This window comes from Homo sapiens, chromosome 6 (genome assembly GCF_000001405.40).
Source record: "Homo sapiens chromosome 6, GRCh38.p14 Primary Assembly".
Lineage (NCBI taxonomy): Eukaryota > Metazoa > Chordata > Mammalia > Primates > Hominidae > Homo > Homo sapiens.
The window spans coordinates 89353081-89368998 of NC_000006.12; the positions used below are offsets into that span (position 1 = coordinate 89353081).

The 15918-nt window shown below is 38.7% G+C and overlaps 1 protein-coding gene across 1 annotated transcript in view, besides 3 other annotated features; it reads right to left on the reverse strand.

Annotated features, from left to right (window-relative positions):
• Window positions 4-103: a silencer, noted in NCBI's record as "silent region_17391". NCBI's record gives its function as "represses an Ori minimal core promoter by ATAC-STARR-seq in GM12878 lymphoblastoid cells {active_cell/tissue: GM12878}" and the evidence as "EXISTENCE:reporter gene assay evidence [ECO:0000049][PMID:35858748]".
• Window positions 3814-3903: an enhancer, noted in NCBI's record as "active region_24823". NCBI's record gives its function as "activates an Ori minimal core promoter by ATAC-STARR-seq in GM12878 lymphoblastoid cells {active_cell/tissue: GM12878}" and the evidence as "EXISTENCE:reporter gene assay evidence [ECO:0000049][PMID:35858748]".
• The window catches only part of RRAGD (Ras related GTP binding D), a 47658-nt gene continuing 43275 nt past the window's right edge, over window positions 11536-15918 (reverse strand). Inside the window, exon 7 of the mRNA NM_021244.5 lies at window positions 11536-15127. Within this exon, the coding sequence (NP_067067.1) occupies window positions 14976-15127 (152 nt within the window). The 3' untranslated portion in view covers window positions 11536-14975. The remainder of the gene's footprint in view (window positions 15128-15918) is intronic.
• Window positions 14957-15186: an enhancer, noted in NCBI's record as "active region_24824". NCBI's record gives its function as "activates an Ori minimal core promoter by ATAC-STARR-seq in GM12878 lymphoblastoid cells {active_cell/tissue: GM12878}" and the evidence as "EXISTENCE:reporter gene assay evidence [ECO:0000049][PMID:35858748]".

Here is a 15918-nt window from a genome sequence, read left to right on the forward strand (position 1 = left end):
GGGACCCCCGGGCCCTCGAGAGCTCGGAGGGGGCGCCGGGCTCCGGCTGCAAAGCTGTCCGCAGCCGGCTGCCCGCGCGCGGTCCCGCAGGGTCTGGGAAAGGCTTTGTTTTTAGATTCAGTTGCTGTTGCGAGGGGCGGGGGTTAAGTGAGGAGGGGGAAAGCCAGTGACAAGGAAATGGAATAGGATTTTTTTTATTTTTTATTTTGTGTGTGTGTGTGACGGTGTCACCGCTCTGTCGCCCAGGCTGGGATGCAGTGGCGCGATCTTGGCTCACTGCAGCCTCTACCTCCCGGGCCCAAGCGATCCTCCCACCTCAGCCTCCAGCGTGGCTGGGACCACAGGTGTGTGCCACCATGCCCGGTTAATTTTTTGTATTTTTGTTAGAGACACGGTTTCACCGTGTTGGCCAGGCTCGTCTCGAACTCCTGGACTCAAGCGATCCGCCCGCCTCGGCCTTCCAAAGTGCTGGGGTTACAGGCGTGAGCCACGGCTCTGGCCAGAGTTGGATATTCATAACAATTTTTTTCTCGGGTAGTGTGTTAGGTGCACGACATGTTTTAGGCATTGCAGGAGTTTTGTTTTTTTTGGTTTGTTTAGATGTAAAAGCTGTCAAAAAAAGGAATTACATTTAATGTGAGGGAAAGCATACAAATATGAAAGGTTAAACTTCAAAGGACACACTTACTGCTTCATTGTCCAATGTGTGGGATCGAGAGAGGACTGAGTTCAAAAGACTTAAGGAGTAGGGACCTTACTAAAGGAAAGGAGGGAGGGATTGGGAAGGTGGGGAGGATAGAAAGGGTTAATCAGGTTGGGCAAGTTTTATTCTGTTATATAAAGACATAAACTCTTAAATTTGATTTGTTTTCTATTGTTAAAGTTAATCTAAATCTGTGAGTTTCTTGATGAAATTGGGAGTAAAAAAGTGAAGGATATCTAAAATTAGATGGTATATTTTAAATCATTCCCTGATGTTGTTTTCTGTATAGTAAACTGATAATCTGACTGACTGAGATATGCAAACAAAACCAAACTCCAATGCTGCTTCATTCATTCATTGTGTTGAATCTTCAGATTAACTGACACTTGACACCCTCTCCTGCCACAGCTCTACAAAAGCCCCTAATTTGTGCAGTAGGCCCTACCACAGCAAGGCCTGCAAAGCAGGTGCTGTATATAATGCGTTCCTATTTGATAGCTGAGTACTAGAAGCCTTTTGCTATTCAGCCTCCAAGGTCCATCAATCTCTGGGTGCAGTTGTCCTCTGGGGCTCTCCTTTAGCCACCACCACCTCCACTGCTCCCTGGGGCTCTTCTCCCATAGGACTGGTTCAGTAGGAATAACAATCTCTCCTTCCTTGGTTAACAACAATAACAACAATTTATTGTGGACATGTGCCCATAACAATTTAATTATGGGCACATATCAAAGCTTAATTACAATCATGCTCCAAGATCAAAGCCAATTCCAAAATTTCTCTCAGCAGAGACATTTACAGAGAAAAGAGAAGTGGCTGGCAGGTGTGGTGGCTCATGCCTGTAATCCCAGCACTTTGGGAGGCCAAGGCGGGCAGGTCACCTGAGGTCAGGAGTTGGAGACCAGCCTGGCCAACATGGCAAAAACCTGTCTCTACTAAAAATACAAAAATTAGCTGGGTGTGGTGGTGCATGCCTGTAATCCCAGCTTCTCGGGAGGCTGAGGTAGGAGAATCACTTGAACCCAGAAGGCGGAGGTTGCAGTGAGCCGAGATCAACCTGGGAGACAGAATGAGACTCCATCTCAAAAAAAAAAAAAAAAAAAAAAGGCCAAGGTGGGCAGATCACTTGAGCTCAGGAATTCGAGATCAGCCTGAGCAACATGGTGACACCCATCTCTACTAAAAATATACACACACTCAAAAATTAGCCGGGCATACGTACCTGTGGTCCCAGCTACTCTGGAGGCTGAGAAGGGAGGATCAGTTGAGCTCTGGGGGATGGAAGAGGAGGAGCAGGCTGCAGTGAGTCATGATGGTGCCACTGCACTCCAGCCTGGGTGATAGAGCGAGACCCTGTCTCAAAAAGACAGATACAAAGAGAAGAGTAATTTTATTTAAAGGTTACTAAATTCTTGACTGACAGCTGGGTGGGAAGGGAGCTCATTTCCTTGGAAAATTTCTTATCCAAAAATTGCTTATTTTTTTAAACTAGAACACTTATTTCTTTCAAGAAAAATTTACAAATTATATCAGGTAAAGTTTTAATCCAAGATCAAATTTGGGGTAATTTTTTCTTTACTTTTGATGATCCTAAGGAAAACTCCTTTTTTTTTTCATTTTAAGATTTTTTTTTTTAATCCTTAAAGCCGACTTCGTAACTAATAAAAATGACAAAAGATGAGGTTTAAAATGTTTCAGAATCTTAGAAAACATCTTAGAACCACAATCCTTGACCTGTGTAATTCATCTTTTCCTTAGTTAGGAACCAGAAGTCCTTTGAAGTGCAGGCCCTTTCTCCACCGCCATTTGCATCCTTGTGCAAGGTCTGGACTATAGTTTTTTAGCATCTACTGTTTATCAGGCACTTGACATAACATCAACTCATTTATTCTTCATAACAGCCTTGGAAGTGGCACTGATTATTTATACCCATTTTACAGATGAAGATAATTTAGGTCTCAGAGAAATCAAGTGTCTACTTCTCAGTTTTTTCAACTACAGATTATTATCTTTCTGGCATATGATTTTTTATGTTAATGAGAGGAAATTTTTCTAGATTTTCATCTATTTCTTGATTTGGTTTGAATACTTTGAAATATATTTTATAAAGGTTCTTAAAGCTTCAATGACTTATTCAAAAAAAACTTCAGTGACTTATCTAGAAAATGAAAGAACCCTGATTCAAGTCCAGGTCTTCTGACTCTGAAACTTGGGTTTTTTTGCTACACTAAAAAGAATCAGGCTGTTTTGTGACATTTGAGTTTTCCACTATTTGAAAAAAGTATATGCTTCTTACAACCTCCGAGCTATTCTTGGTTCACACATTTTACTTATTCTTTAGCACTAGAAACTTTTTTTTAAATGATTTTCTTCTTGATCATAAAAGTAATACAGTGGTTCAATATGTGGAATATGAACAAAATCCAAATCTCCCATAATCCTCCTGCTTAGAAAAGGACATGATACAGATTTTGGTATATTTACCTTGAGGTTTTGTTTATAAGGCATAGATATTTTAAGAACTGATATCCCATTATACCACATATACTTTTCTATACTTAAAATATCTGCCATTAGCTAACTGGATTACTTGTTTTGCCAGTTGCATTGTTATTATCACTTAAACTGATAGTGTGAATCAGCTTATTTTACATCAATGTCTTCCTAGAGTAAAATTTAAAAAAAAAAAAACCTCAGAAAGCCATATATAAATTTTATTGCATCGCTTCTCAGTCTTTTGGCTAAGATCAAGTGTAGACTTTATTGTAAACATTTTGTTAATTACCTTGAATACTTTATAATTTTTTTTTTTTCAGAAAAAAAAAAAAACCACCTGCTATAGTTTTTTCTCTTGTTTTACCCCCAGGATTTCCCCTTGGGATTGGTTAATAAGAAACATGGAACATTTTCCCATGGGGATGTAGCTGGTATTAATGTAATGGAGATGTTAGTTGTGTTATTACCAGGGACACAAGTTTAAACTCTGGTTACCTGAACAAAAATGTCAGGCAGGAAGGAGCTCTCAGTTTTTGGGTGCCTCACCTTAGTGCAATTGCAGGTCTAATAGTTATGCTTTTGCTTACCATCTGGCAGCCAGCTGAAAGATCTAGGAGAGAAAATGCTTCTGTTTTTTTTTTTTTCTTCTCAGTTTCTCCTATGTTCAAGATAGGTCTTGCTTGTTCATTCTATTTTAACACTTTTCTAATATATTTCAGGAGAAAATATTATGGAGGGATATCAAGCAAATATATTTGAAATACAGTAGAGTGCTTAGAATACTAGTTTAGTAGGTTCCTTCACCAGACGACTTGTGTACCATTTCTCATTTTAAAAGGTTTCCCTATAAGTAAGCAAAGAAGTGTTTTCTAAATAAAATAGTAAAGAGTTGTTTGCAACATTATTAAAGTAATTTTTAGTGTAGCTTTCTTAATTTGTCTTTTCTTTGAGACCCAATTTGCTACCATAGCTTTGAATTATCTATCTCTCTCAAAATTACAACTTTTGGTGTTAGGGATGAGGAAAAGGAAGGCTGCTTAGCATTGTGCTTTTGCTTTATTTGCATAGACTGCATCTTGTTTTTCTCAAAATTGAAAGGTGCTTTAAAAATTAGTAACAAAATTACAATATTTACTCCTTAGTTCTGATGAACTAATGAGTTTGAGTTATTTCATTTTCTAAGTTTAGCTCTAAAGGAAACACCTGCAACTAAAACTGTCGTTTCTGGGGGAGAAAATGGTGTGCACTTGGCGGTGTGCTGGCAGACAGCTGCCAACTGTTTCGAAAGTGTGTTCTCCTTCCCCCCTTCTGAGTCCTCTCCTAATAGCTATTCAAAGTGCTGTCCTGTCTCTACCTTTCTTCTTGTGTCACATATCCTGTCACCCCAATTTGTCATTCCCTGGACCCCTTTTAGCCACTTGCTGATTGATGAAACTTGGTTACCAACAAACTAACCTGAACAGCTTAGAAGTCTGCTCTTCCCTGGGAGTAGTTTCAGTTTCAAAAGTCAAGAATTGTCTGAGTTCAATACTTCTAAACAAATTTGTATTTTATTCACGATTATAGCATCTACAAACTTCCAAAAAATATTGTCATAGATATGAAAAACATTCTTCAGTCTCCAGACAATGCACAGCATATACATGATTTATGAAATTCTTACAGTAATTCTGCAGCCATGGGGCATTTCGACAATATTATTGTCTTCAGAACAATCAGTACTACACTGCTTCCCATTAAAACCCAAGTTACAATTATAGGCAAACTTTGAATGATAACCACATCGTCAACTTCTCAAAAGTAGTCCTGTACTTTTTTCAGCACTAACCAACCAGAAGGTATAGGTATGCCACAATTTGCCTTCTAGCATCTTGTGAGAAAATACTGGAGCCAGTTTAACTTCTTTGGGGAATTCAAGTTGGGTCTAGGTACAGATGCTGGCTGGGCGCGATGGCTCATACCTGTAATCCTAAAACTTTGGGAGGTGGAGGTGGAGGGGAGGATCGCTTGAGGCCAGAAATTCAAGACCAGCCTGGCTAACATGGTGAGACCCTGTCTCTATGCAAAAAAAGGGGGTGGGTACAGATGCTATTAAATAGTAATATATACCATATATGCAGAATGGAAAGCAAAATTTTTCCAAAAATATCATTCCTCAGAAAAGAGAGTCACCTTGTGTTTTTGTCTTTGTCCTTTTTGAACAAAATACTCTTCAGGAAGACAATATGTCGTGAAAGGGTCACAAGTAATGGCAATTTTCTGTCTTATAAAGGTCACCTAGCAAAATCAGGGGAAAAAAGGCAAAGACATATTGATTAATTATTCCTGAGGGTATGACTTTGGATAACAAGTATTGGAGATCATTAAGTAGGCTTTTAAATAATTATTGAACAGAGAAATACAAGAAGTACTTATTTATGGTGATTATGAATATGTAGGAAAAAAACCCTGATGTTTAACAAGTGGTTCTCGAGATGTAGTAAAATCTCCACTGACAGCATTCTACTCAATGTAAGGCATGCTCTACCTTAGATAACTAGGAGGGAACTGTTAGAGGACTCACAATGTTGTTTCAGTGATGATAGAGACCCAGTTGTAAACGATGCATGTGAAGTATTTGAATAAAATTGTTTGAGGAAAAACCAATTTTTCTAAATTAGTACCATTTGCATAATTTGTGCTATTAGATGTAAATGAGTATTTAAATACTGAATCAATAAATGGTTTAAATAGACTTAAAATTATTTACATTCACAAAAGTCTACATTTGAAATATAGGTTAAATAATATAAACTCTTAAAGCTGCATAATCAAGTTGGAAAAAATGCTAACACTTGGGGTGTTGATGTGTATGTAGGTATGGAGGATGCAAGAAAGCTCCCCTAGGTGATTGCAACCCTAATCCCCTACCATTTCCCCTCCCTATCCCTTTAAACAACTACAGAGAAAACAGTGTCTCACAAATTATAAGAATTGTTTAGGGTCCTTATTTAAAAATACAGATTTCTGTATTTCTCCCTGGAGATTCTGATTCAAGAAGACCGGGATGGGGCTGGGAATCTGCATCCTTAAGCACTCTAGATGATTCATAAAATCAGGTAACTTTGGAAAATATGGGCCTAGAGCATTAAATGAAACAGTACTATGTGTATTGGTGGCACCGTTTCTTGCACCTTATAAAGCTAAGTGAATTCCTTCCTCTCCTACGGAGATGGAAAGATACATAGGACTGTCTCCCGCAGTCACCCCCTTTACTGCACTGCTTCCCAGGGAAAAGAAACAAAAGCCTAATTACCAAGGCCACCTTATAAGCAGTCTGGGAGAAGGCCAGAATTAGTTCCAAGTTATTGGCTATCTAGGTGAGGAAAGTTGAGTACTATGGGGCTTAGCTCTCTGCAAAGCCAGAGGGGAGAAAACTGAGTAGCAGCCCTCTTAGGGACTTAGGCAATAATGAAAGCAGAAGGCAAACAAAAGCAGCTTGTAGGAATGGAATTCTCCACGTGGTGATGAGGGTTAGCATGGGACTGAGGTTTAAATTGCTCTATCATAGTTGGCCTTTCATGAGAGGGGGATTGGTTTCATGACTCTCAATTTTGGAAGAATAGAATAACCCTGCTGGCCCCAGGAGCTTATTAGGAAAGATTGAGGAAGCAAGATGGTCAAGGTCTCAGGCAGCTGGACACCAGTTAATGCCCCCACCCTCCTGAGTGTAGTCACTGGATCAGCTCCCTTTCAAAATAGCACAAAAGGGCAAACTCATGGATTCTTTTTTTTTTTTTTTTTTTTTTTGAGACGGAGTCTCGCTCTGTTGCCCAGGCTGGCGCCCAGTGGCGCGATCTCGGCTCACTGCAACCTCTGCTTCCCGGGTTCAAGCGAATCTCCTGCCTCAACCTCCTGAGTAGCTGGGATTATAGGTGCGTGCCACCACTCCTGGCTAATTTTTGTATTTTTAGTAGAGACGGGGTTTCACCATGTTGGTCAGGCTGGTCTTGAACTCCTGACTTTGTGATCCACCCGCCTCGGCCTCCCAAAGTGCTAGGATTACAGGCATGAACCACCACACCCAGCCAAACTCATGGATTCTTGATAACGGATAAGACCAATGTCATCTGAATTAACAAAGGACCCCTTAGGAGTCAGACATGAGCTCATGAGTCACTAAACTCCATGTAACGCTATCATATTATAGTCAAGGATAGAGTCTGTAATAAAAATGATCCTCTCAGGCCTACAACCCCATCAACCCTTCACCCGTAATACAACCCAGCATACAAAAATACCCAAGGATGGCAGTGAAAAGAAAAACCACTTTAGTAAACACTAGAAGGCCATGATCAAATGAAAGAAAAATTCAGGAACTTACTCAGAATTTCCCATTTGTTAAGATCTCTTAATTAACAGAGAAGGAAAAGATTTTAGGTTGGAAAGAAAATCCTTAGATATTTCTGATGTGGCCAATGGGTTCATTCTAACACTACTTTACAAACCACAGGTTGTGACTCATTAGTGGATTGTGAGATCTTTTTAAAAAAAGCAAATGAAAGAGAAAATACCAGAATGCATTGCATGTAGAGAGGATATAACTTGGTAAGTTTTTTTTAGTAACATTTGTATGAGTGTGTGATAGTTTGCAATGTGAACTGTATTTATTGTGGCTCACAATAACAAGTTTAAAATTGATTTCATAAAGGTGAACTACAGTTCTGTCCCAGGGCAATTTTATCTAGCGTTCAAACATGGCTTCAGGCATGAGTTCACATGGACGTTCTACTTTTTAAAGATGGTTTAGTTTTTCAAGATTGAATATGAGAACCACACTTCATCTCAGCTTTAACTGCTAAATCATTTATTGAAACCATAAATGTAATATTCTACAAAGAAAAGACTATTGACTTGTAAATATTTGTTGCACTGTTCTAACAATATTGTTTTGGATTTTTTTTTAAATCCTGGAATTAAGTTGTTTCTTGGAATAATATGATACTTCAAATTGGTATCTTAAAATCATGAACGAGACTACTAGAGCTTATATTTTCACTTTCCCAGGACTATTGCAAAATACTGATGATACAACTGAAATAAGATCACTGCCTGAACTTAACTGTAATTTATGATAAAAGTAGGTCTTTTGAGGACCTCTAGGACAAGTATGACACATTTTAAAATCACCCAGCCTTTCAAAATTCTGAATGATGTGAAAGAGTTTTGCATTTACCATCAGATTTTTCTCACATATTCTACTGTTCCTGATGACATGTTAAGAGAATATAAACATTCTTAGGCGACACTCTTATAAATAGTTCCCTGGTACGAACAGATTGAAAAGGGTAGAAAAGTAAAATAAACTTTTGTTTGTTTGTTTGTTGAGATGGAGTCTCGCACTGTCGCCTGGGCTGGAGTGCAATGGTGCGATATTGGCTCACTGCAACCTCTGCCTCCTGGGCTCACACGATTCTCCCGCCTCACCCTCCTGAGTAGCTGGGATTACAGGCGCACACCACCACACTGGGCTAATTTTGTGTATTTTTAGTAGAGACAGGGTTTCACTATGTTGGCCAGGATGGTCTTGAACTCCTGACCTCATGGTCCGCCCACCTCAGCCTCCCAAAGTGCTGGGATTACAGATGTGAGCCACCGCGCCCGGCCAAATAAACTTTTTATTAAATCCAATTCTGGAAGTGATATTGATGTCATACATGTATTAAGCTGGAAAAGTATGAATATTAAAATAACATTTAAAACTTCCTACTTTTAAGATAATTCACCTCTTAATTACAAGGAAAAGCACTACATGTCAATAAACATTTCGAATTTACAGCCTACTTCTTCTATTTAGTCTTACATTAAATTAATAGTAAATATAGCTATTGATCTATTGGTTGAACAACTCAATTTCTTGGATGCTAGTTATTATCCATGGTCTCTGCTGCGCACAGTGGTAAAGTCCTACACAACTGCAGTTCTAAAAACTGACATCTATAAGGACCTATCAAAAATTAGTTTATTTTTCATTATTTTTAGATATTAAAATCCTTTCATCTCCAGTATCTGCCTTTTAGCCATTTCTCTAGCACAGAGTCTGGAATATAATTGGAACCCTATAAATATCTGTTGGATAAAAGAACATTGTTAATTTCCCTCAGAAAGTCACACCATCATAGGAGATTTAGCAATCATTATTGACAAAAGAATCAAAACTCATGGCTCCTTTTATTTACCCCACACTCTTTTGGTCATGCTTGTCCTCAACACATTGAGGGAGAATAAACCAAGTCCGGAGATGCAGCAAGGCCAGGGAGCAGGGTCTTGTGAACTCTGCTAAGGAGTTTGGGCTGATATCTAGGAGTCATGGAGAGCTTCAGACCTGGAGGGTGTTAAGCAAGGAAGCTTAAGAAGGTCAGGAAGCAAGGAAGGTCAGAATTGTGGTGGTTGAGAGAGGCCACTCGGGGTCTGTATGAAGGATGGATGGATGGATGGATGGATGGATGGATGGATGGATGGATGGATGGATGGATGAATGGGGTAGAGAGACACTGGTTAAATAGCTACTGAAAGGTCCGATGCAGTTGCTCATGTCTATAATCCAAGCACTTTGGGAGCCCAAGATGGGAGGATCACTTGAGCCCAGGAGTTTGAGACCAGCCTGGGCAACATAGCGACATTCCATCTCTACAAAAAAACAAACAAAAATTAGCCAGGTGTGGTGGTGCACACCTGTAGTCCTAGCTACTTGGGAGGCTGAAGCAGGAGAATCACTTGGGCCTAGGAGTTTGAGGTTATGGTATGCTGGGATCATGCCACTGCACTCCAGCATGGGCAACATAATGAGACTGTCTCTCAAAAAAAAAAAAAAAATACTGAAATCCAAGTAAAAAGGAGATGGTGGTCTAAACCAAGATAATGGCAGAGGAGATGGAGAGAACAGATTCAATAGACCTTTGTAAGGCTGAGCTGAAAGAACCGAGTGACTGACTGCAGGTGAACAGGAGGGGAGGGAAGAGTCAAGAATGAGGCCCAAGTGTCTGGCAGAAGCACAGGGAGGAAAGTCACACCATCATAGGTGATTTAGCAAGAAGGAAGCCAATTTTAGACATATTAGATTTGAGGCTTTTCACCTATAGAAGATTCTAGCAAAAGCATGCTAGTTGCAATTTAAGATATAGATCTGAAGGTCAAAAAAGAATTAGGATGGAAATATACCTTTTTGGATTTTATTCCAGATCAGTATTTTATTTTTTTTACATATATTGAAATCTCAAGGTAAAAAGTTGAATACAGTTAAGACCAAAGGCTTATTCTTAGATTTCTGAGCTTGAAATATACTATTGCCTATTAGAAAACCAAATGGCTATAAAAGGTATTTATATTTTCTTTAGATATTTAGACACTTAATACCATCTTCAGCATTAGAGTTATTTAATGGGTTAGGAATAAAAATGCATGATCTTTGACTTTCTTCTCTGGGTGAAGTACATTTAGAAGACTGCTCCTATTGGTTCTATAAATATGCCAGGGGAGCTCATGTAAGAATAGGTACTTCTCAATATGCCAGCATTCATGCCCATGTAGTAATTAGTAGTTTAGGTGGATAAACTCCAATGTATCTGGTGGGCTCTGACACACTCTCCTGAATACCGCCCTCCTTTTGCATCCTCAAATGGCATGGCACACCCCATAGTCTTAGTCCACCAGACAAATCCTCTAAGTGCCCCTCTTCATATTTGTGAAAGGAAGGTATTTTTTTTAAAACATTTGGTGAAGCTGCTTATAGTTGTAGTTGGGAAAGTGGGCTTACTAGCTATATGATCTTGAGCAAGTTATTATTTCATCTTTTTGACCTTGGTTGCCTCATCTGAAAAATAGAAATGGTAACAGTACTTACCTCTTGGATTTATGAATTTTAGTTATGCAAAAGTACTTCAGAGCAGTGCCTGCGGCATATTGTGTGTACTCAATCAGTATCTGTTATTACTAAATACTTCTGTTGAAGACAAAATTTTCTTTCTCTTAAGCTCAACATCACTACTGATGGAAAATCTTGGAAATAATTATTTCAGATCAGGTTTTCCAACCAGGAACAGGATTTCATATTTGAGATATAACATCTAATGCTAGCCCCTCTCTGAGAACTCCTAGGGGATCTGAAAAAGGTCATTGTAGGATGGAATCTTACTAAGCAAAGTTAAGAATGATAAGGTAAACTGTTAGGAAAAGGATTTCCATATGACTAGGGGATTAGGGCCACAGCAGCAAGAGTTAATATCTGAAGTTTACTGAAGTAACAGTTCTACAGCCCTAACTGGCATGTACCCATCAAAAATGTGGAGATGTAAGAGAGTTTAAAAATAAAAGCATAAATTAAATTTAAGTAGTGAGATTTATCATCATTTCCATAAAATGAGAGCTGGTTAATCAGGACAAATAAATTTTACCAAATGGATGTAACAGGGCCAATGAAACAGTGACATACATGTATGGTAAGCAACCTCAGAAACAGGAAAGGCTGTACTTCCTTTTCACCAAAGAGACAATTCTGCTCCCAGAAAGCTTAGCTATGAATACACTTGAAATGAGAGCTTTACCAAAGCATGAACCTAGGACACATGCTTTTAAATTGGCAGTTAACATTCTTGAAAGCAATGGCTTAACAATGGTTATTAAGTGATGTACTGCTTAAAGTAAAACATGGACTATACCTGATTACAAATTACATCCAGTCTGTACAAGTTGAATACATACCATACTTTAATAACCAAGACAATTCAGCTGTTTTTCCAGAGTATATTTCAAACAGAGTTGGCATATAACCCGTATGTAACAATATTGCTGTGATTTTAGTCATATTTAAGGGTCCAAAATATGTTCACAAAAGAACAGTTTGTGAATGTCAACCAGTTTTTGCTTTATATTCCTTCAAAAACATTCCACCCTGGTCATTCACACTAATCTACATCACTGAAAATAACCAAAATAATTCACAGTCTCACCTCTATGTAAAAATTCTAATTGACTCAACAGGGAAAGGACTGCCCTGCTCCTTTTGAGGAAGGAAACCTGCAAGGCAAGTTCTCAATCCCTAAAACCAAGCAAAAATGTTCCAGTGCAGTTGCTGTAGCCATGTATTTAGGATTTGTATTTATAGAATTAAATTTGAGAATGAAACATGGCCATACACATCGCAATAAGCTGCCTCTCATATCAAAAATACAATGCAAAATGACTTGAAGACATTTCCAATAACACAGATTTGAAAAACTGAACGCTTAGACATAACTCCTGCATCTTTCTTTAATTAAGAAGTCATTGCCACACTTACAAAGTTAGAGGCAGTAATCTATATTAGCGTGTGATTAATCAAAGAGTACACTTACTACCATGAACTTGGGCCCTATGTCATAGAATTATTTTTGCCTTTCCCCCAAAGAATCATTTGCTCTTGAAGTAATAGGCTTTTTAAGGCACATTTTAACAAAAACCCATCATATACCCAGCTTAAACATGGAAGCTCCAACCTGGTTATAGTAATAAATATACCTAAGTAATGTGTGATTTACCAAATAGGCTAGTGTCTCTAGCTTGAGGATAAAGTCATATTAGAAAACTGATTCTTCATTTGCTTATTCAAAGTGAAACAACATGTAAAAAATATTAGAGAATTAGATTTATAACAATAACCCCTAAGTGTCAGGTCTGTTGGCAAAGGTCCAACAGGATATAGCTCTGGAAATCAGGGAGCCCTGGGCTCCTAACCATCCAGGTTTCGGAGTAGGAATCATGAGGAAAGGAGTTAGGGCACCTTAATTATTTTTAGAAATCTCCTTTCAAAATGCACAGAACCTTGGGAGGCTCAAACCTTAAACACCAACCAGATATCATCTTAAATTCAGTTACCAGCTTCAAAGAAACAGGACTTGGGGAGAGGAAGGAGAGAGGTTGGAAAGAAGCCACAGAGAGAAGTGGGAAAGTTTAGGCTGGGCACAGTAGCTCAGGCCTGTAATCTCAGCATTTGAGGAGGCCAAGGCAGGAGGATTGCTTGGGGCCAGGAGTTTGAGACCATCTTGGGCAACACAGTGAGATCCTGTCTCTACAAAAACAAAATTTAAGAATTAGCCGGGCGTGGTTGTGCACACCTGTAGTTCTAGCTACTAGGGAGGCTGAGGTGGAAGGATCCCTTGAGCCCAAGAGGTAACAGTGAGCTATGATTGTACCAATGTATTCCAGCACAAGCAACAGAATGAGGCCCCCCTCTAAAAAAAAAAAAAAAAAAAGTTTCAAGTATAAGTTGCTTTAGGGACTTTATATATTTTGCTAGGACCAACTTTGATGTTCTTAGGAGGCTCTGCTTTAAAAAAAAAAAAATCTCATTTTCTAATGCCCCACAAGCATGCCTTAGGGTGCTAACCCTTGAGATGCACGTAAAATTATCTACTTGGAATGATTTGGCATAGGGGTAGATTTAGGACTCTTAATTTCCTGTTAGTCTAAAGTAAACATAAGTGAAATAATTTCACAGAAACAATTACACAGCTAATTGTAATGTCTCTCCAGCCATCCTTTTCCCACTGACCTTTAGGGGTCTTCAGGATGACTCTTCAGCCTTGCAGAGCATGCTGGTGGCAGGCTGAGCTTGGCTTAATCATAAGGTGGGAACAAGTGGAGTACATGAGGCATGTTATCACCAGTGAGAAGGAGATGTGGAGGTGACAAAAGTGACTAACAGGATTGAGCTCCATGGTGGGGTTCTGCGATTTGTTCTATTCACTATGGTCATGGAGCAATAAAGAACTGGTCCTGAATAAGCATTTTAAATGCAGCACACCAGACCATCGCACAGGGCCAAAAGTCCAGAATTGTATCTATGTTTTTTAGTCTGCAGTTGCCAATCACATACTTTTGGAACAACTTTAGGCCTCTGATGTTACTTTAGCCCTGGGTGGTAGGTACAGAAAAGCCTCCAGAAACCCTACAATTCAGTGACATTCTTACTTCTCTCCAGTGTTCGGCACCATTTTGGAAATCTGGTCCCAAAGTTTCAAAAGAATACTAATGCAACAAAAAGAAATAACCTCTCTGTATAAAGTGATTATAGAGATGTGTGTTGAGGTAAACAGCTTCATAAAAACCGTTGAGCAGGGAAGCACAGCCACTGCTATAGAAATTTTTAGGTAAGTCTGGTGCTAGCATTATTCTACAAAACTGTTTACACCCATTATAAATAGGGGACAGTTCTTATTGCTCCTGGAGCTTGTAGCTCCAATCTGTTCCAGCTCCACTGAAAAATGATTTTTCTCAACAATTGGTAGCAAAGATTTCCAAATTTACAAAAAGTCATTACCAATGCATCACTTTTTGATTAATTTCTGATTGCCATATAGATATGGACTACAGTATGCATGTCCTTGACACCAAGTACAGAAAAAAAGCTTAGAAAAGTCGTTTTATCAAAGTTCAGTTCAATGAGAAACATGAAAAAGTGCAAAATATGTACAATTCCTGGCAGTTCTCACACGGGATTTTTTTGACTACAGACCATAAAAGTTTACATTTGTGTAATGAAATGACAATGGATTTCACATCACTGTTAATATACAAGTTTTTGCTTCAAAGTGCTTACTTTATTTATAAAAGAGAAGATCAAGAGGGTTGCAGGAATTTTTTTTTTTTAACAACAAATCAATGGTATGTGTCCCAATCTCCTTCTTCCTCTTCCTTTAGTGCAACATGGCGCAGCAGCCTCATGGATAAGGTCTGATTTCAAAAGACATTCCTGAAACCTCACCTACAGCAGCACTCTAGGGGTCCCATTAGGGGTGGCTCTCTTTTTCTTCTGCAGCCGATTCTGAACCTTTCGAGATTTTACTACTTTCATTCTCACCTCAAAAACTTCATGAATGGCCTTCCGGAAGCAATGAAAATTATAGTCAATTAGCCCTGGAGAAGAGAACAAAAATATTTATAAATGTCACGTAGAAATAATCTCCATCTTTTCATGGGACCCATGGCCAGGACAAGCCAGTAGGGGGCAGTAGAGGATGGTCTTAGCGTAAGGACCAGAGATTTCCCTGGGATGTCTGCAGCTGGCCTTCAGAAATTGCTATAAATCTTTAGGAATTATAGGCAAAGTCTTGTGAAGGAAGATTTTTCCTGATGCAAGGTTGCAGAGCATAGACCATATTTTCAAAGGTTCCTATGACCCAAAAGATTTAAAGAACGACTGAACTGAACTTTTTTTTTAACCTTTCAGAATTAAAGATTTCTTACAATTAAGAGAAATCTGTAATGAAAAATGTTTCTCCCCAAAGGGCATTATTAGACTGAGTAGAGGCAGATCCTGACTTGGGATCCCAAAGCTGTGTATCAATCAATAAATATTTACTGAGTATCTATTATATTTAAACCATTCTCATAAGCCCGAGGGAAAGCGAAGCCCCTAATTTTAGAGTGTTAACAGTCATCTCGCCAACTCCAGCAGAAATTCAACAACCAATGACACTCAGCTTTTCAGTATTAAGTATTTTAAGTGGAGAAATAGTAGGAGGGAATCTTCTTGTGTTTTCAGAAATGTATCAGTGACACAAAAAATAGAATAAAAGATAATCCAAAGTCTTGATGAGTGCATTTTTCATCATTACTAGTAATTTGTAAAAGTCCTGAGAGCAACATTATGTTTACACCAATTAGGATAAGGTGGTCAGTTCTATTTACTATCTTTGAATTTATTA